The sequence below is a fragment of the Homo sapiens genome, chromosome 14, assembly GCF_000001405.40.
Source record: "Homo sapiens chromosome 14, GRCh38.p14 Primary Assembly".
NCBI lineage: Eukaryota > Metazoa > Chordata > Mammalia > Primates > Hominidae > Homo > Homo sapiens.
In genome coordinates this window covers 69,955,824-69,977,594 of record NC_000014.9, presented here as the reverse complement: position 1 = coordinate 69,977,594, position 21,771 = coordinate 69,955,824, and the positions used below count along the sequence as shown (strand labels likewise).

At 43.6% G+C, this 21,771-nt stretch overlaps 1 protein-coding gene across 4 annotated transcripts in view; it reads right to left on the bottom strand.

The window, feature by feature from the left end:
* SMOC1 (SPARC related modular calcium binding 1) overlaps positions 1-21,771 on the bottom strand; it is a 152,951-nt gene that overhangs the window by 54,772 nt on the left and 76,408 nt on the right. For all 4 annotated transcript variants that reach the window (NM_001425244.1, NM_001425245.1, NM_001034852.3 and 1 more), the window contains exon 4: positions 1,781-1,880. In NM_001425244.1, coding sequence (NP_001412173.1) covers positions 1,781-1,880 — 100 coding nt within the window. The remainder of the gene's footprint in view (positions 1-1,780; positions 1,881-21,771) is intronic.

Genomic DNA, 21,771 nt, shown 5'->3' with positions numbered 1-21,771 from the left:
TTACACCCCCATCTCCCCAACTTCTCACCAGTTCCATGTTTGGAGCCATATTCAGTCAGCAAGGCCAACTGAAAAGAAACTCCCTTTTACTGCAAAGGCAATGATTGACATCCCTTGCTGGTTAGGACAGGAAATCAGCGATTCTCCATCTGCATTAAGTAGAAAATTGTTGGCCCAATTGTACTGAATGGGCCAAAATAGTCTAAGGCATGGAAACAATTTTCTAAGCACAGCCTGTTCCTCCAGGAGCGGGTAGCAGGTATGTTTGCCCAAGCATTTGCCCTGCATATACTAGGGTGCTCTGTGCATCCCCTCCTCCAGTCCTGACCCTGTGGCACCTGTCTTCTGCTGAGGTCCAGCCTCACACAGGCAGGGTACAACCAGCCCATGCACAGAAGGGCATCTGTGGAGTCCCGCCAAAAGAAAAGAATCTCTATTTCCCTAATCCATGTCATACTCCTTCTCCATATACCAGTTGTGTGAGAACTCAAACATATTATCCTGCATGGCTTGTTTCTAGTCGTTTGTTTGCTTTAAATGAAACTTTCCAGGTCATTTGAAAGGAGGGCTAATTCCTGTACCTCCCTACCCCAACCCCAATTAAGGTTTCTAGTTTCCATGTAAACCACAAATAAAGTAAACTTCCCTTTTTGACCTGTAAATTTGGGTTTCCTGATGTAGATTCTTATAGCCCTTTCCACTTTCTTTTTCCTTCATGTAACAGAGCAAGTAGAAAAAGCTATGATAGCAAGACTGTCAGCCTTTGGAATTTCCCATCGGTTTTAGCATAATGTTTTATACTTTGCACTTAAAATGAAAAATATGTAAATCAATAAAACCCTATGCACACAGATATGAAGAAATATGAATCAGCTGATGGGTGAGACAGGCTTTTTTGAGAGAGCTGAGCCACATAGTGAATTAAGGGAGCGACTCAGAGTCTTTTACCATCTGAATGGAGGTGGACACTGTGGGGCTTGTAAAAATCCCTAATCCACAATCCCATGAAATGGACCTAAAAAGCACAATTTCTCTATGTTTATTAAGTTGGGAATAGAAAGGACTTAATTTTTGCTATGGCCTAACCCAATGGATCACTATAAAGCAATAGTTTGCTAACTTGTCTAATCATCAGAATCACCTGAGAGACTTCATAAAAACAAAGACCTCAGGTCTCCCTCCAGGCCTCCTGGATCAGAATATACAAGAGGAAGCCTCGATATCTGGGTTCTCTTTAATTTCCCAGACATTGCTGTTGATCAGTCAGATTTAAGGGCCACTGTTACGAAAATTTTCCATTTCTCTACATTACATTCTTCAGGGGTGGTGAGTATATGACACAGAAGCCACCATTCTTCTCTCCTGATCCCATGATAGACATCACTAATAGATAACTACAGCCTTGGATGCTGAGCTCCCAGGTGGTCTCAAAATCCAACTCAATAAAGCACTTCAAGAGCCACTAGCAATCAGAATCAGCACAAAAGCTAGTAACTCATATGCCACCACAGCTCTATGAGATTACAGCCAGTGCTTAGAAGGAGAGCATTGAACCAAAAATCTAAACTCAAAATCCATAAATACACACACATGGCATACACTGTCATGCCTTATCATTTGCTGACTTCCGAGCAAGCATGTTAGAGTAGAATCCTCCCTGATCTAGAAAAAGGTTCATCACCACCATCAACCTTCTAAAGGTTCTCCCACAAGATGCAGGAGACCAACCAACGGGTCTCTCTCCAACCCTTTTCATTCTTCCCGCCCCTCCCTACGGTACCTGAACATACAGGAGTTTTATTCTGCACAGAAGAGCCACTGATGGGCTTCCCATCCGGGGTGACACACCAGCAGTACCCAGTGTAAGTATGGCACTGCACCTGTTCAGGGAAGTGAAAAGGGAAGAAAACCATAAGTCTCGGTCACAATATCAAGACTCATCTCCAACCCCTTTCAAAGCATCACCCATACGGTGAAAGAGCATCTTCCACCTCTCATCCCCACATCTGTCTCCAGAGTGTCTCTCATGGGTGGTCCAGTCAGTGAACAGCACTGGGTACATGGTTGCTGTGGGACTCCCACGCAAACCACAGCATTTTACCTGCTTCTCTCTTATTCCTCTTCACACTTAATACCTGTATTATACTGTGTTTTTCCTGAGATGGTTCTCACCAATACCTGTACATTTGTTTTCTCTAGCACTGGCATACGCTCCCATCCAACTGTAAAAAATTCTAACCCACCCTATTTTTGAGACACAGTTTCACTCTGTCACCCAGGCTGGAGTGCAGTGGCATGATCTCAGCTCACTGCACCCTCTGCCTCCTGGGTTCAAGCGATTCTCCTGCCTCAGCCTCCCAAGTAGCTAGGATTACAAGCATGCACCACCACACCAGGCTGATTTTTGTATTTTTAGTAGAAATGGGTTTCGCCATGTTAGCCAGGGTAGTCTTGAAGTCCTCACCTCAAGTGATTCACCTGCCTCGGCCTCCCAAAGTACTGGGATTACAGGCGTGAGCCACCGCACCCAGTCAAAAATTCTAATCCTTGAACTAATTTGGCAAGTACAAGTTGGAATGACACCACTGCAGATTGAAATGACATTTCTTTAACAAGCAGAGACAAGTGGTAAGCTTTTCTTCTTTGTCTAGCTTCTCCTAGCATCCATTCATAGATCAGCTTGCCTATTGATCTTGTGACTGTCTTGAGATGAGGGCACACATGACGGGATTAAGGCAAGGGTAAAACCTGCAGGTTTTATTTCTAGATGCCCTGCTGCACCACTGTGTGATCTTCCTCAAGCCTCCAAGATCAGGTCTGCCTGCCTGGGAATAGCAAAAAGGAATGAGGCTTTTTTCATCCTTCAGGGTAGCTCTTCTTTCTCTTCCAGTAGCTGTCACCCTACCCACCACCTCCCGCCCCACCCCACTATCCTGCTTTCAATCTGGAGTTCCTAAACACACATTAAGGCCTACTTCCCTGCTTAGAATCCTTCAGTGATTCGCGTTGGGATCTAGGATAGAGATGAAACTCATTGGTATGCACAAGGTCCTCTGTGATCTGCCTCCATCTATTTCCGTAGCCTCATTTCATGCCCATGTCCCAGCACACACCCTCCACTCTGGCCACAGAACCCTCTGATGCTCCCAAACACATTTTAGTTTCTCCTGATTCTGAGCCTTTGTTTGCTCCAACCATTCCATTTGTCTGGAATGCCCTTCCCCAACCCATCTCCCATCCACTCCTAATCCCTCGTATTCCCCTCCTCCTTTGTGATACACCTCCTCAAAGCAGTCCCAGCCTCCCCTGCCTCCTTCCTCTGATCCTCCCACACACCCTGGGGCCCCCAAAATCACAGCCCTTATCACTGTGAGCTCTAGCTGTTGATTCATCCAGTCCACTCCCCCCTCTCAAGATCGTGACCTCAGGGACTGCATGCTAGTTATTTCTACATTCCCAGAATCTAACATAATGCCTGACATTCATTGTAGGTGATTGATGGGTTGAATAAAGGCATCCATTATCCTATTTTCTCAATTCTTGGTCTCCATCAATTATAAAAATGCAATGTCAATTTAAACAACCCCACTACATTAAATGTAGATCTCAATTACAAGACATGTGCCAACTGCAAAGATATTAAGGTGTGAAGAAAATGTGCTTCTTGAAATCAAGGACATATTGAAATCAAGGCTAGACAGTAATAGCACACAAATTGAGTGGTAAGGGATGGAAGGGAGCAGTGAGAGGAGACATCTGACAGCCTTGGTGAAATCCAAAAGTTATCACAAAGGCAGAAAAGCTGTAGAAAGGCTTCTGCTCTCGTGTGGACACCAAACACCGTCATTTTCCCCAAGACAAGTTGTTTCGCTATGGACCTATCGACAGAAATCAAGGATAAGACAAGATAGGGGGAACCTTGTTCCTACCACGAAGGTGCATGCTGTCTAAATGAGGCATTTCCCGCAGCTCCTGCATCTGAGACCCTGCTCGGGTCTTCTGGTCAATGCCTTTACCCCAGTACCATGTCCCACACCCACTTCATCTCATGGCCATGGTTGCTACCCCAAATGTTCATCCAAGAGCAATATCTTGGGGTCACGTCAACACTACTTTCTGAGGAGCCTTAATGGTGGAATGGAAAAAAATCCAGATAGACGTGGATTTGAATCCTGGTCCAGCCAGTTATGAACTAGATACATCGCTCAGCTCTTTGAGCCCATCTATAAAATGGGGATAACAACGTGAAACCTGAAGGTAAGGAAGTCCATTGTCTGGCACCCAGCGAAGGCTGGATATGGAGTGGCGGTGGTGAGAATTGTTCTCAGCGATGCCAGAAATGCCTGGCAAGCTGGCCTTTTCCAGGGCCAGATCTCCTCTAGTAACCTCCACAGACTTGGGTGGGAAATGCTGCTGGAAATGTGGAGTTGATCCCTTCAGACTCCATCCACCCTAGAGGGGATATTTCCTAAAGACAGTTCCTTGCCAGTGGCAGCAATTTAATGGAGCCTGGCAGGCTGCTCTCTCCTCCTTGGTCAATAATCACCTCTGGGGAAACATGTCCCAGGAGCTGAATGGCCACGCTGACTCACTCCCAGGGCCCTTGACTCCCATGGCCAAGGTAGGCCTCTGTCTCCATGAGGACTGTGCCCTCAAGTCCATCGCCCGAGGCTGTGTCTCTGGCCCAGTGCTGTGCTGCGGGAGCCAGGCACTGCAGTTAAGCAGGCTGCAGAGAACGGGCTGGTTCAAAAGCTGCCTCCTCTCAAGCATGCACAGAGTGCCAGCAAAGGCTAGTGGGGACAGAAGCAAATTCATGAGTAAGAGGCTAAGCCCAAAGCTTTGTTTCTGGGGATATAATCTGACCTGTGGGCTCAGAGGGTCCCAAGGGCCACATTCTCACTGAGTGTGCCCATTGTATCCCAGTGGGCACATGAACACTGTCTCCCAGCTCCCGGCTGGCCCAGAGGCCCAAACACAGCTCCTTTCTCCCCAGAGCCCTCAGCATTTTTCTCAGTCCAGGCTCCAAAGTAGAGAGCCCAGATTACAAAATCCCAGGCTGGGAGCTCCTTCCAAGTCCTATAAAACTGAAATCAAATGAGGAATTGTTGCCATGTGCCTGTGAGGGCGGGGGTATACAATAATGGCACACCTACCCCAGGTGTGCCGCAGGTGTGGGGACAGCCATGGGCAAAGGGTGGCACAGAAGACCCGAGCAAGGTCTCAGATCCAGGAGCTGAGGGAAGTGGCCGAGCACAAGCTCTTAGCTGAAGGAGCCCCGAGTGAATCAGCCCATGATTCCACAATGAGAGGTTGTTTCTAAGTTGTCTAGGGAGTTTTCAAGGTGACTTCTTGCAGAAAAAGAAGTTACATGGAGACAGTCTGCAGCCGGCCTTCCAGCACCTCCCAGCTCCGCCACTTAACTCCTTCTGCAGCCTTGAAAAGCTTTTCAATCACACTAAGCCTCGGTCTGTCTGTATCTTTTTAAAAAGGGAAGATAATCATGACAATAATACTTATCTTAGTTGTTAAGAGAATTCAATTTGATAATGTAAATAAAACACTTAGCTCACAGGGTAAGTGCCCAGTTAACTTTCAGCTATTTATTTTTATTATCATTGTGTTATATTTTAGCAAACTATCTGTACACTCAAAAATGCCAGAGCCAGATTATCTGATGAGGACAAAAGAACATCCTATTCTGAGCAGCCTGAGGGGAAGTGGCAGTCTAAAGTCAGCAAAACGTTTGCAAAGGTTTGGGTGGAAGAAGGAGATGTTTGTTTTCACATAGAAATAGTTCTATTGCCAGCAGAGGAGAGAAACGTTTCTTGCAGAAAAGCGATCAGGGTGTAAATTCTTTGAATTGATGGTTTCTATATACATGATCAAGATGTAAACTCTACCTGGCTTAGCTTCCTCCCTTGCAGATTTATCCTTTTAAATTAATAAGTAATACCCTTCCTTTTTCCCTAAGAGCCTCAAGTTGGTCAACTTTTAGACTTAATCTCAGAAAACCCAGGGCCAAGAGGATCCATGAGGCAATTGGCTATTTCAAATATCTCCCTGTGCAGTTCTCAAAACTCATGGTTGTTCTGGCCCAAAAGGTACAGATACAAACAGTGAAATCTGCTCCTATCCCACTCCGAAGCATCCTAGGAAGGCTGAAGTGTCAACAGATGGCTCCTCCTTAAGGGACAAAAAGTGTTTACTCATCAACCTAAGTGAGGTTACCTTCTGCTTATATTGCAACTGTACTGTAGAATGTAACCAGGGGGAGCGGGGCCAGGTGCGGTGGCTCATGCCTGTAATTCCAGCACTTTGGGAGGCCGAGGCAGGCAGATCACTGGAGATCAGGAGTTCGAGACCAGCCTGGCCAACATGGTGAAACCCCGTCTCTACTAAAAATACAAAAATTAGTAGGCGTGGTGGCAGATGCCTGTAATCCCAGCTACTCGGGAGGCCGAAGCAGGATAATTGCTTGAAGCCACGAGTTGGAGGTTCCAGTGAGCCAAGATCACACCCCTGCACTCTAGCCTGGGCAATAAAGTGAGATTCCGTCTCCAAAAAAAAGAATGTAACTAGGGGTCTCAAAGGTCCTTTAAGGCAGTGTGTTCCTAGATAAGTAAGTTTCATCTCTGCCTCATACACTTTAATATTTTTGGCAAGAAGCCCTTTACATAAACAGCCTAGTGGTATATTTCAGGCCAACCCCCATCCAGATAAAGACAGATCTGAATTATTTTAATCCTGCTAATCTTCAACATTAGCCCAAATTCTGAACACCTGGAAGGATGTGGCAGGCTACCACTCCCAACAAGGCAGGTGAGCAACCGATGAGCAGAGAAACCTCAGCTCCTGGGGGTAAAGCAAGTCAGGGAGCAAAGGGGAAGAAAGCAAAGAGAGAAATGGGGCCGACAGATGAACAACACATATAGACAACTATCACCCGCAGGTGCCATGTCCAACGCAAAAAATACCACCTTCCACTTTCATGATGGCTTCTCAGTCACCATCAAAGGTCTATGCATTATCTCACTTGGGCCTCAAAGCCACCCTGTGTGCAAATCTTTTATAGGAGAGGTACAGAGAGCAGAAGTTATTTGTTCAAAGCTAGTTAATAACAGCACAGGACATTGGAATCCCAATATCCAAGCAATCATAAAATTTCAGAACTGATGGACTGGAAAAAGCCTTAGAGGTCACCAATCTAACCCAAACACTTCAAAAATGAGGAAACTGAGGCCCAGAGACAGAGTAGTAGTTGGCTCCCAGTACCTTGTCCCGGCAGATGGAAAGCTCTCAGACCTCAAGGAAGGAGGAAGAGACAGGAAGCGACTGAGTCTCTTTGAGCCTTGTAATTTTCTGGAAAATAGAACTCTTTGGGGTCATGTAAATATGCCCACCAGGGAAGCAGCTGGAAGAGAGTCTTCTGCTCCCGTTTCAATGAGAGGCCTTTTCTGGAGTAGCATTGGCGCCTCCACCTGCTGCGGGCTGCCCTGCTTCCCCTGGGATGTTCTCTGGTGGTTTCTATGGCAGGGGTGAGGCCTCACCTCCCAGACTCGCTTCTTTGTTGCTTCTTCTTTCACTCTCCTACCAATCACCCTTGCTTTCCTAGGAAACCAGAGAGGAAACCAGTCTCTCTGCAGGTGCCCACTTTCTTCTCTTTTCTCCAGAAATGTGAGGCTGCTGTTCTCTCCAATTTGATACACTGATGAATGAATGCAGCTTGTGTTCTGTGAGGTGTGAATAGAAATAATGAGGGATAAAGGTGTCCTCTGGCCAAATAACTTTGGAAATATTGGGTTAAACAAAGTTAAAAGATTTCTTTACTGCAGAACTTCTCCTAGCTTTACATCAATTAATGATTTATCCCTAAGAGGAAGATACCATTTGCAGCAATTCCTAAACTTATTAAACTAGGGGACTGATACAGTTTGGATGCATGTCCCCATCCAAATCTCATGTTGAAATGTAATCCCCAGCGTGGGAGGTGGGGCCTGTTGGGAGGTGACTGGACCATCGGGCTGGGTTTCTCATGAATGTTTAGCACCATCTCCTTGGTTTTCACGACAGCGGGTGAGTTCTTGTGAGATCTGGTCGTTTAAAAGTGTGTGGCACCTCCCCTCCCTCTCTCCTGTTCCTGCTCCTGCTCCTGCTCTGGCCATGTGATTTGCCTGCTTCCCCTTCCCCTTCCGCCATGATTGTAAGTTTCCTGAGGCCTTTCCAGAAGCGGAGTAGATGCCAGCATCATGCTTCCTGTACAGCCTGCAGAACTGTGAGCCAATTAAACCCCTTTTCTTTATAAATTACCCAGTCTCCAGTATTTCTTTATAGCAACGCAAGAATGGACAAATGCAGGGACCCTCCCCTAACTTTTACACAGGGAGCATTGGACAGGACAAGTGTTCTCTGAAATGTGCTTGGGGTCAAGGGAAAAAGCAGTATAATGAATTACAAGGCCTTGCTGTATTTTTTCACTTTGTCCCATCCTACTTTTTTGCAGTCTAGATATCAGGCTCTCAGTTCACTATGCTTGAAATAATTTCCTTCCGATGACAACCCCTCCTCTCTTTTTGTAATGCTTTGTCAAGCTATGTATTTGCTAAGAAATCCATCCTGAATTGCCTCAGAACTTCAAGGACAACTGGGATCCCATGGAAGGCACAGTGCCTTCTCACCCTGTGGCTTCATTTCTCCCCATCTGTCTCTTTGTGCTTCTTTTGCAAAATAGAAATCATGAACCATATGCAATGGGACAGGCTTGATTCAGCATGCCTGGTAGCAGCTACAAAACATGTAATGAAAGGACTGCTGTCATGTATATGAACATTTCCTAGTGGAAAAAGGTTAAACTACAAGTAAAAAGAATGTGAGTATTTTTCTAACTCTCTTTTGGCAGTGAGAGTATGAGACTGTTTTTTCTTTTTAACCTGCCCATTACTCCAAATCGGATAGCAGGGTTTTTGGATTAAGCTAATGCACAGTGAAATTTAAACATCTTGCTGTTGGTCCTACTGATGGCTTCATGTCAGAGCAGTATTTTCAGCTGCTCTGTTTTCCTTTTGGCTGCATTCCCTGTAGGATGTCTGAGCAGTTGTGGTTTTCCATGGGTGCCATGGGCTCTGGCTGGAAGACTGATCACCTGAGATGGCCACTTATGTCCCCACCCCCAAGAACATCTCTCTCCATCAGAATCTGAGGGAGAAGATTGTTTATTGGGTATGGATGAGAGTCATCTGGAGGGCTTATGAAAACATTGCTGGGCCTCACCCACAGAGCTTCTGCATTCATTGAGTCTGGAGTCATCTGGAGCATTTGCATTTCTAACAGGTTCTCTGGCAATGCTCTTGCCGCTGGGTCCAGGGACCACACTTCATGAGCCACTGTGTCAAAGGAGCATCCCACCCTCTTTCTGGCATTTATCATGAAATACTCAAGAAACAAGTAGTTTTCTACGTGAGAGTTTGGGAACAAGGGGCCTTGTGACCCTATTTGTTTCCAAAGCTTTTATATTCCCAATGTTTTAATGACATGGTATTTTAATGCATGAATCTAGTGACTGCAGTATTAAATCTTCTGGGTGATTTCACACATGGACAAGAGTTTGACTGCAGTGAGAAGTGGTTAAGGGGGAGAGAAGGAAGGGATGGTGTAATTCTTTTGGTCTGTCTAGCATGAGCTGTCCTTTCCTCAGTTTGGAATAGGTTATCGCACACATCTTCTCCTCATCTTTAGTCAGGTTTGGCTGAGAAGCAACAGGAGTAGAAGGGAAAACATGGTTTTGGAGACAAAAAGACCTCAGTGTAAATACCATCTCCACTACTAGCTGTGTGACTTCAGCAAAGTCACTTAACCTCTCTGAGCCTATCTATGAAACAGGATTCATGGTACCACCTTGAAGATTATTAAGAAGACAAAATGAAACAAGATATATAAAGCATCTAAAACAGTGTAGATATAGGATATGTGCTTAGCACATGCTGATTTTATCCTTTTCCCCTACCTTTTGCAGAGGATCTAGGCCAGGGGTGTCCAATCTTTTGGCTTCCCTGGGCCACACTGGAAGAAGAACTGTCTTGGGGTACATATAAAATACACTAACACTAACAATAGCTGATGAGCTTAAAAAAAATCTCATAATGTTTTAAGAAGGTTTACGAATTTGTGTTGGGCCTCATTCAAAGCGATCCTGGGCAGCATGTGGCCTGCGGGCCATGGGATGGGCAAGCTTAATCTAGGCCATAGCCTGAAAGCACTGCTATTCTTATTGACTGTAGACATTGTCTCCCACTTTATGCCAAGTCTAGGGAGGATTGCCTGTTGGGGAATGAAGAATTTTTCCTTTAAGAGTATTTACCTCATCTGCCAGAATTTAAGAGGAGATGCAGGAAAGGAAGCTAATCCTTCAATTTCAAATCCTCCTAAATATGGGAGTCTTTGTCAACTGCATTTTTTATGAGTTGATGGTGTGATATGGCTGCCAACATGGCATTAGTTAGGAGTGGTGTGTTTAGAACAAGAGATGGCCTTGTTCTTCCCCAGCCTGCTCATGACCACATCTGAAATCTTGTGTCCAATGTGAGGAAGGATGCTATAAGGAAGGCCCTATAAGAAGGGCCTTGGCAAATTAGACTCAGAAGAAGGAGGCCAGATGGAAAGATATATAAATCCCTATGGTATGGGAATGAGTGCTAGAACTAAGGATTTCTGCCAGGGGAAATAAATTGTTGGCTGAAAGAGAAGATTTCACAAGGATATAATGGTGCTCATCTTCAAGTCTTTCTGTGGATTCTATAATTCCCATAGCTAGAACTGAAGTCATCTCTTGGAAGTTATAGGAAGACAGCTCTCAAGTCAAGGTAAAGAGGACTTTCCAAAAAAATTGTCCCAAAATTCACTATGGATTTTTTCATTGTGAGAATAAGCTTCCTGTCTCTGAGAGCAATTAAGCAGAAGGTGGAAGACTACTTGGGTAGAGACTGTAAGTGGAGCGTGAGCCCTGGATTGGAGTGGGGTAGGTAGAGGAAGAAGATAAACCAGATGTCTCTGAGGTCCTCTTTAATCCAGAAGGTCCATAATTCCACAACCCTGCTGTAAGGTGAACTTTTGCTCCTGAAGAGTAGGGAGGAGATTTATAAACTAGTACCTAATTGTCAGTGTTAAGACCACCAATCCAATTATATGGTGAAGAATATTTTTTGTATTTTCCAAAAAGTTTGAACAGCATCCCCCACAAAGGACATATAAAGACATTTGGAACACCCGAGTGTTAGGGCTCCGGGGACCCAAGAAACTTCACTGTCTTCACTCCTGTTCCTCTGTCTGGTGCCTAGAATGGTCCAGGTTTTGTAAACAGCAAATATGATACCTCTTGTTCCTTTAATTTTATTTCTATCTTGGGGGTTAAGTATCAAATATATTTTTATGTTTAAAAAGTACATAATAAGAAAGTCCCTCATAAATAGGAGCATTTACTCAGATGAGAACTGTGAGAACGCTGGCTGGTGGGGAAGACAAAAGTGGCCTGCAGGAGTGGAGCCTTTCCTTGTTCTCCTGTCTGACTTCACTTTTAATAAAACTTTTCTGTCTTCACACCTCCCACCTGAGTTCCTATTATTCTTCCCTATTTTGACATGAAAAAAAATTCTGATCCCTTCAATTTTGCAGAAGAGTTTAGTTGACTGACCTGCCGGGTCACCTCCCAGCATGTTACGTGCACTCACAGAGCAGTGGCAAAAGCCCTAAACGTGTGTCTTAATGGCTCTGCCTGAAAGTTTCCTGAGTAAATGTCTGTTGTGGGCCTACTGTGTGCCTAGCCACCTGATTGGACATTAGCTCTTGTTTCATAAAATCCTAAAAAGTGGTGTTTTCCTCCTCAGAGATCAATTGAACCCCCTTCCCAATGTAGGAACACTCCCTCCCATCCCCATGGCACAGCTGATGGATATCCACTTGGTCTCTGATTGCCCACTTTCCAGGATGGGAAGTTAAGTCCTCTTTGAGTCAGACATTCTGTCTGTGAGCTACTCTACTTGTCAAAAGTTCTTCCCTATTTCGAGTCAGAATCCTACTCTTTATATACTGTACTCAGTGATCCTGGGTCAGCTCTGTGGGACTACACTTAAAAGACTTATTATCATTCACAGACAAAGGTTTGGATCTGGCTCTCAGGTATCCCTTTGGTCATCTTTTTATTATTATTATTATTATTATTATTATTTGAGAGTCTTGCTCTGTCACCCAGGCTGGAGTGCAGTGGCGCCAACTCGGCTCACTGCAATCTCCACCTCCCGGGTTCAAGCGATTCTCCTGCCTGAGCCTCCCAAGTAGCTGGGACTACAGGCATGTACCACCACACCTGGCTAATTTTTTGTGTGTTTTTAGTGGAGATGGGGTTTCACCATGTTAGCCAGGCTGGTCTTGATCTCCTGACCTCAGGTGATTCACCCACCTCGGCCTCCCAAAGTGCTGGGATTACAGGCGTGCGCTACTGCACCCGGCCTAGTCATCTTTTTATCCATCCTTTGGTTGTTATCTCTGGCTCCATTGGATATTCCTCACATGACATCATTTCCCAACTTTACTCACCTGAGTCACCCTCCTGAATATGCCCTAGTCTGGCAACATCACTTTAAAAGATGGCAATGTCTCTTAGAGGGGCAGTGTGGAATCATGGTTAGGATCAAGAACTCTGGAGCCAGGGTACTTGGGTTTGAATACTGACTCTGCCACTTGCACACTGTGAGACCCTGGGCAAGCTACACAGCTTCTCTGTGGTTCAGTTTCCACATCAATAAAATGGGAATGTAACAGTGCTTATAGTGAGGACTGAATAACTTAACATGTGTCAGGCAAATATAAAACAGCCTGGCACCTTGTGTATAGGTTAAGAAAGTGGTGGTGTTGTTGATGATGATGATTATCTAAAAAAGAAGAGCAGTTCCTTTAATTCCACCACTTTGGGAGGCCAAGGCGGGCAGATCTCGAGGTCAGCAAATCGAGACCATCTTGGCTAACACAGTGAAACCCCGTCTCTACTAAAAATACAAAAAATTAGCCGGGCGTGGTGGTGGGCACCTGTAGTCCCAGCTACTTGGGAGGCTGAGGCAGGAGAATGGCGTGAACCCAGGAGGTGGAGCTTGCAGTGAGCCAAGATCGCGCCACTACACTCCAGCCTGGGCGACAGAGTGAGACTCTGTCTCAAAAAAAAAAAAAAAGAATACCAGAGAGAGTGACTGAAGCCTCCCATTACTGAGCCTCTCCTCTCCCACAGACAGCAGGAAAGCCAGAGCAGGAGGCTTCCATCTTTCCCTCCCTCCCTCCCAAGCACACTGCATTGCAGAAGAGCAGCTGCAGATACCGCCCAGAGCTCACTCCTTTCATTTCCACAATAGACAAATTGTAGGGACAGAATCACTAAGGGCTACAGGGAGCTCGGATGCCCAGCTGGGAGCACCCAAACCTTGCATGCTTACTCCAAAGCAAATGATGCCAGCCAATCTGAAGAGGACTCACAGTGGCCATTCAGCTAGAAAACAGCCATTGAAGAGCAGGACAGAGCAGAGAGTGGGATAGGCGAGTCCCCAGAGAGCACAATGGAGACAGTGTTCTGAGCACAAAGCGTGCTCCATCCACCCTCATCTTATCACACATCCTTGCACCTGATGGGTGATGGGGGCATGGGGACCAGTTCTTCCATTGAAAACATGATAGTAGAGGCTCCCAACACATGCAAGAGATTAGACCGGTCACTTCCTAGACAAGTCCTTCCTGCACATGAATGGGTCAGACCCTGCTCTTGCCATCACTGACAAAGTTAAAAATTAAATTTCGTAACTGCATAACTGAGATTGTTCACTCACTGCAAATGATATGCCACCTTGACCTCCCACAGGAAGGCAAAAGTAGGGTGCCCTTGGGAAGCTGGCTACTGGCTGCTGCTCACTGGGGCTCCAGCTTCTACCTCTCCCAGATCTTGATGTGCTGAGAACCTTAATGCCCACAGAGGATACGCCATTGGGGGAGGGGCGGGAGGGACCAGCACAAGCACACCGCTCTACTCCGACAGGCAGTAGCATTTCTCCTCTACAGTTTCAAGGCTCCCTGTAACCCAGAGTTTCTAATTTGAAAAGGAATTCCCTTTCCTGCTTGTAGATTCAAAGAAGTATTGGCCTGTCAGAGACTGAAAGCTCTTAGAGATATACAATGCTCATCTTTGGTGATTCTAAAAAGTTTCCTACCCCCATTTGGTACCGTTCTCTCCCAACCTTTCCCTTTTCTTACAAATATCATGCCAAGGGTACTGACATTGTCTCCAAACCTAGGACCACAGCACAGGCTACAGGTTCCTGTGCATTCCCCCTACTAGATGCTCTGCCTCGGTGAGTGGAGCCAGCATTAACCCCATACATGGGTGCAGAACAACCCTCATCTCACTGTCCAATTACAAAGAAAAAATAAGATTTCAAAACTTACTACAAGGTTATAGTAATCAGTAGAGTGTGGCACTGGCATAGGACTAGACATATAGATTAAGGAATAGAATTGAGATTCCAGAAATAAGCTTATTTTTGATGAGAGGACCAAGACAATTCAAGATGGAAAAACAGTCTTTTCAACAAGTAGTCCTGAGACAACCGAATATACACATGAAAAGGAATGAAGTTATAAGAAATAAAAGAGAAAAAAAAGATAAATTGAACTTCAAAACTAAAGCTTTTTGGCCAGGCGCAGTGGCTCACGCCTGTAATCCCAGCACTTTCGGAGGCCAAGACAGGCAGATTGCTTGAGCTCAGGAGTTCAAGACCAGCCTGGGCAACATGACAAAACATCGTCTCTACAAAAAACACAAAAATTATCCCTGCATAGTGGCATGCACCTGTAGTCCCACCTACTCAAGAGGCTGAGGTGGGAGGATCGCTTGAGCCCAAGAGGCCGAGGTTGCAGTGAGCCAAGATGGTACCACCACACTCCAGCCTAGGTGACAGAGTGAGACCTTCTCTCAAAAAAAAAGAAAAGAAAAGAAAAAAGAAAAAAAGAAGCTTTTGTGCTTCAAAGGAAATTATTGAGAACGTAAAAAGAACCCACAGGATGGGAGAAAATATTTGTGAATCATATATCTGATGAGTCTGGTACCTAATGCCCAGTGGCTCACGCCTGTAATCCCAGCACTGTGGGAGGCTAAGGCAGGCAGATTACTGAGGTCAGGAGTTTAAGACCAGCCTGGCCGACATGGTGAAACCCCATCTCTAATATAAAAATACAAAAATTAGCCAGGCTTGGTGGCACGCGCTTATAATCCCAGCAATTCCAGAGGCTGAGTCAGGAGAATCACCTTAATGCAGGAGGCAGAGGTTGCAGTGAGCCAAGATGGTGCCACTGCACTCCAGCCTGGGTGACAGAGTGAGTCAGATCCATCTCAAATAAAAAAAAAAGAGAGAGAGTCTTGTATCTAGAATATATAAAGAGCTCTTGTAACTCAATAATGAAAAGATAAGTAACTGAATTAAGAAATGGGAAAAGGATCTGAGTAGACATTTCTCCAAAGATATAGAAATGGCCAAAAAGCACATGAAAAGATGCTTGACATCATTAGTCATCAGAGAAATGCAAATCCAAACACCATGAGATACCACTTCACACCCACTAGAAAAGATACTAATAAGAAAGATGGAAAATAACAAGTGTTGACAAGGATGTGGAGAAACTGGAACCTTCATACATTGCCGGTGGGAATGTAAAATGGTTCAGCTACCTTGGAAAACAGTCTGTCAGTTCCTCAAAAGCATAAACATAGTTACCATATGACCTAGCAATTCTACTCCTAGGTATATGCCAAGAGAATTGAAAACAGATAAACACAAAAAAATGTACACAAATCTTCACAATAGTACTATTTATAACAGCCAAAAAAATGGAAACAGGCCAGGCGTGGTGGCCCACACCTGTAATCCTTTGGGAGGCTGAGGTGGGCATATCATTTGAGCTCAGGAGTTCAAGAACAGCTTTGGCAACATGGCAAAACCCCATCTCTACCAAAAATACAAAAATTTAGCCAAGTGCAATGGTGCACACCTGTGGTCCCAGCTACTCAGGAGGCTGAGGTAGGAGGATCAATTGAGACCAGGAGGTGGAGGTTGTAGTGAGTCCAGATCATGCCACTGCACTCCAGCCTGGGCAACAGAGCGAGACCCCATCTCAAAAAATAATAAAAACTAAAAATAAAAAATAGAAACAACCCAAATGTCCATCAGCTGATGAATGAATAAATAAAACAGGATATATATATATATATATATATATATATATATATATATATATATATACACAATAGAATATTGCTTGACAATAAAAAGGAATGAAGTACTGATTCATGCTACAACAAGGCTGAGCCTTGAAAACATTATGCTGATTAAACTAAGCCAGGCAGAAGGACCACATATTATTATTCCATTTGTATGAAATGTCCAGAATAAGCAAATCATAGAAATAGAAAGTAGATTAGTGGTTGCCAAGGACTGAGGAGAGAGGTAATGGGAAGTGAATGCTAATGCGTACAAGATTTCTTCTCGGGTGACAAAAATGTTCTGGTATTAGATAATGATGATGGTTGCATAACTGTGAATTTACTAATAACCACTCAATAGCATATTTTAAAATGGTAACTTTTATGATGCACAAATTATATGTCAATACAGTTATTATTTTAAAGAATAAATAAAAACAGGTGGCCGGTCCACAGACCACAGTTTGCCAACCTCTGAACGAGTTCAACTCTTCCCAGTTGAGCAAACCAAGAACCTAAAGATGAAGAAAACTAACATCTGCTAAGCAACAATTATGTGCTAAATAGAAGACATTTTGTATAAATTATCACTGTACATTAACTGGTTGTTTGGAACAAAAGCAATTCACTGAAAAACACATGTAAAACAAGTAGTGAGATGCTCTGGACACAGTAGATGTTCACACTGTAATAATAATATGTTTTTTGAGCATATAACAAAAAAGGAAAAAGAAAAGCAATAAGTGCCCAACAGTGGGGACCATTTACCATTTATACCATCTGTACATAAAGGATGGGCTTGAATTTTTGGCAGTATGACTGCTTTAAAAAAAAAAGCTGGCATTGTCCACAGACCAAAAGGCAGGAGGTCTTTATAAAGCAGGGCACCATCCACTAAACACACACAGAGCCCACTTTTTCTGCAGCATCCAAAGGGGCCAACTGTGGCTGAAGAAGCTTGGAAACATTCCAGCTCACAGATGCACCCCAGGTCTCAGTACTTCACCTAGAGGGTCCTCTACACTGTCTGAGAGAGCCAAACTGTTGCTCTAGGCAAGATATATCCACATGAAGACAAAAAGGCCCTTGGCCCCTGAACTCCTATTAGACTCCCAGGCTCATCAAAGATAGGACAAACCCCTTCCACCCTATGAGGATGTTCAGCCTGCCAATGTTTCATCAGTCCAGGCCAACAAAGTTTCACAGTTCATGTCAAGCATCCAGACCTTCAGTACTTGCTGGGAATGTGAAAGAAGAAAAACCAGACGGTAAACCAAGGTGTTCCCAGGGCAAGCTAGTCACACAACTCGAGTCTACAGGGGTGACGTCAGGAAGATGCGTTTCTATACTGTGGGGCTGGGGAGCTAAAAAGGAACAATAAGATCTGCTTCATAGCTCAACCCCAGGCACTTAGGAAACAAGTGTGTATTTCCCTAGGTTTTAGGAAATACAATAGTAAGAACTATGGAAATGACAATAGAGCCCAATGCCTTTGTCAAAAAGCCACAGAACATTTTTTAAGCTTCCAACTTCAGAACAAAGCATCATCAAGAAGAAGTTACATCTCCCCAGATCCCTATATGCAAGAGATCCATGCATATAGATCCCTATATGCAAGGGATCCATGCATATAGATCCCTATATGCAATGACCTCAGGAAATAAAAAAATCAGGTACATGTGTGCACTGTTGGAGGGGAGCAGTGGTTAGAATTAGAAAATGGGAGAAGTGGTAGTGCCCATACAACTATATCAAGAAAGATTGTTCCTGGACCACGGAGCTCAAAGACAGGAAACATAACACATTTTTTTCCACACAGAAGTAACATAATGAATAGAGTTTTATATTCTATATTATTAGAACTATAATCTGTCTACATAAAAAATTAAAATATCTTGGGAATGAGTCTGATAACAACCAATAATCAACCACATGGTTGCTCAACATTTATGGAAAGCGACGTGGTAGTATGCATCAAATGCCTTAAAAAGTGCATGGCCTTTTGACACAATAGAGAGCTGCTGGAAAGTTAATCTCCAAATTTTTAGGATTCGTGATACATTCATACAATGAAATACAATGCAGACATTTTTTAAATGAGACAGTGTTGCATGTAACTTACTGGGAAATAAGCCCATAATATACTTAGCTAAGAAAATATTGTAAAACAATATATAACATTACACCATTCTTGTCCTAAATAATGACAATAAGTACACACAAGGAAAAAAATCTAGAGGGTTAGACTTAACTGTTGCTATTTCAGGGTCATGAAATCACTGGCTTAATCTTTCTACCTTATATACTTCCATATTGTCAGAATTTTTTTAACAGAATGTGTATAGCTTTTCTATTTAGAAAAAAATGAAAATATTTATCATCTTAATTATCTGGTTAATTAAATCCCTAGTACACAGACCTACACAAATATATTACATAAGCCTCTACAACACATGCGTTTGGAGGTTGCATAGTGTGGCTATGTCATTTGTTTAAGCAATTTTCTAGTATTGGATATTTAGGTTGTTTCCAATTTTTTGCCACTACAAACAAAACTTGGATTGTAATCCTTGTGGCTAAATAGTTTCACATATTTTTAGTTACTTCCTTAGAATAAATTCCTAGAAGTGGAATTGCAGGCCCAAAATGTGGACACGATTGAAGACTTTTGACCCATATTACAAGACTATCCCACTAAAAAGTCAGTGCCAATTTACTTTCCAAACTGCAATAGAAGGGCACCCTTTTCCCTTTATCTGACCCTGAATATCATCATCTTTTCCCAGTTTTTGCTAATTTAGTAAGCAAGAGCATTCATCATCATTTTTATTTGTATTTCTAAAATGACAAAAGAAGATAACATCATTCAGATTCACTTATTGACTATTATTATCATATGGCTGGTTTTTTGCTATCTCTTGCCCACATTTTCACTAGGATCTTTTTCTTTCTGAATTGTAAGAGTTCTTTACATAAGATTAGCTCTTTGTTGTTAAGGCTAATGTGTGTTGTTTGCTTTTAGTTTAGTTTTTCTCTTTTTAGAAACAGGGTCTCACTATGTTATCCAGGCTGGAGTGGAGTGGCTATTCACAGGTGCAATCATAGAGCAATATAGCCTTGAACTCCTGGACTCAAGCAATCCTCCTGCCTCAGCCTCCCAATTAGCTGGGACTACAGGCTTGTGCCACCATGCTCAGTTTTGCTTTTAGTTTTGTTTAAGGTATTTGTGTCCAAAAATTTAAAATTTGTATATATTTTCTTAACAATAAAAGGCATTCAGGATTCCAAATAACTGACTTATAAATGAGCTTTCGAAATATTATTGTTTGTATATTGTCTTTTATATAGTTACTTTATCATATGTCTTAATCTCTTTTCTGCGTGTAAACTCCTTGAAGGCAGAGGTCATGACATTTTTTTGAATCCTCCCTAGCAACCAGCACACAGCCCACAATATAGCAGAGCTCAAAAATATCTGGGATGAAAAGATACTGTGCGTGGGGATTTGCTTTGAAGCAATCCAGTTTGGGGGCAGGAGATGGAAATGAGGTAAAGATGAAACAGAACTGGCCATTTCTTAATCATTGTTGAAGCTGGGTGATGGGTATATGTTCATTATACTATTATGTCTACTTTTTTGTATCTTTTTTTAATTTCCATAATCTAAAGATTGTGTTTTTTAAAATGTTTGTTTCATTGATTGGTCAACAGCATTAGAAAGAGAACTTCTGCAACAACAATGGTGATAGAAATGGAATACATATGTATCAAGGCCACTTCTGTAGCCCAAAAAAGTTAAGAGCACAGCCTTGGATATTAGGCAGGCTTGAGTACAACTTGTCTTAGGCTCTCAATATTAGGCAGGCTTGAGTACAAATTGTCTTAAGCTTAGGGACCTCAAGTCAGCTATTCAACCCCACTGAAACTCAATTTTTCTTTATACATAAGCGTATTAATAACTCTCAAAAGGTTGTAGTAAAGATTAATGGGTGTAAAACACAGGGCCTAGCACCTGATAGCACTCAATAAAAAGTGGGCATCATTGTCATTCAGTGATGCACACACTTGCCAAGCTCCAGCCAACACAGCCTGATGGTGACAGCCCAACACCCTTCCACTGCAGCTGAGATTTCAGTTAATCAGCTTGGGCACCAGACAACTGCTTGGCAGAGGACTTGATAGAACAGATGTCAGGAGTTGTGTTCCAGATACCCAGAACAGAAAACAGATAAGACCATAGCAAAGGACAAAGCCTATAGCTCCTGAGCTTATTCAACATGTCACCAAAGAGGCTAAATTCCACGTCTCAAGGATGCAATCGAGAAACAGAGTGATGAAGTCCATACAAAAGTGGTTTGAAACTTTGATCAAACATTGGCATCGCCTGGGGAGCTCGAAAAAACACAATGTCTGTGTCCCATTCCCAGATATTGATTTAATGGTCTGGGATATGGCCTAGGTTTCAAGACCTTTAAAAGTCTAACATGGTCTAATGTACAGCTTTAGTGTCGCTGCTGTAGAAGAAAGCTGAACCACTCCTGTGTGTGAGTTGGGGTTGGAGGTAGGGAGGGAAGAGGACAAGGGAAAACAAAGGGAAAGAACAGAGGCCAGCGAGTCCCACATGAAGCCCATTAAAGCCAAGTCAGTCATGTGGTCTCAAGCTGTGTCCCATGCCAGACAAATCCAATCCCATTAGAGTGCCATCACTCCCCCCATAAACTTCAAGAGAGGGTTACTGTGTAATAATTCCCAGGGCTAAAATATGTTAATACCGGGATGCGTGCATATCAATATTCTAAAGAATATTAAAGCAATGTAGTTTATCTCTGGGTTTTGGTCTTAGGAGAAAAAAAAAAAAAAAAAAGCCCAGCTAAGTGATGGAGGTTGGAGAAAGGAGAAAGCATTCATCTCCCGGCATTTTGGCAGCCAGTCAATGTGACTGAAGCATACTCAAAGAGGCAGCCTTATTTTGTGAAGTTATTGCAGTGTCTTTGATCAGCGGGAAAAGCACATCCATTTCAATCACTGTAGCTGGGATGGGCCCGCTGTCTGGCCGTCTGGCTGCCCACCAGAGTGAGCTAGCCTTCAGCCTACAGACACATGGCAGTGCTTAGCATGTCAAACAAATGAGGGGGTTCTTGACTATCTACATAACTCTTGCTGAACTTCAGGGACTCTCTCGTTTAGCAATTTAGCCTGGACTAATCTGGAAGTTCCTTTCCCTCAGTAAACACCACCTGGTCTGGCCTGGCCTCACCAAAACAAAAGCTGGCCAGTGGGCTGTCTGTCACGAGGTAGCCAACACTTCAGAATCAGGAGGGCAGGGGTCAGCCATTCCTATAACCAACACACCCAGGATCACACAAGCCTGGAGAAAGAAAAAGCCGATGGCCACAAACTCCACTCTCCTCCTTTACCTTCACCCTGTCTCAGCCCCAAACTAATCTGAGAGAAGTCTGATTCCTCCCCACAGACATGAATTCTTTGCA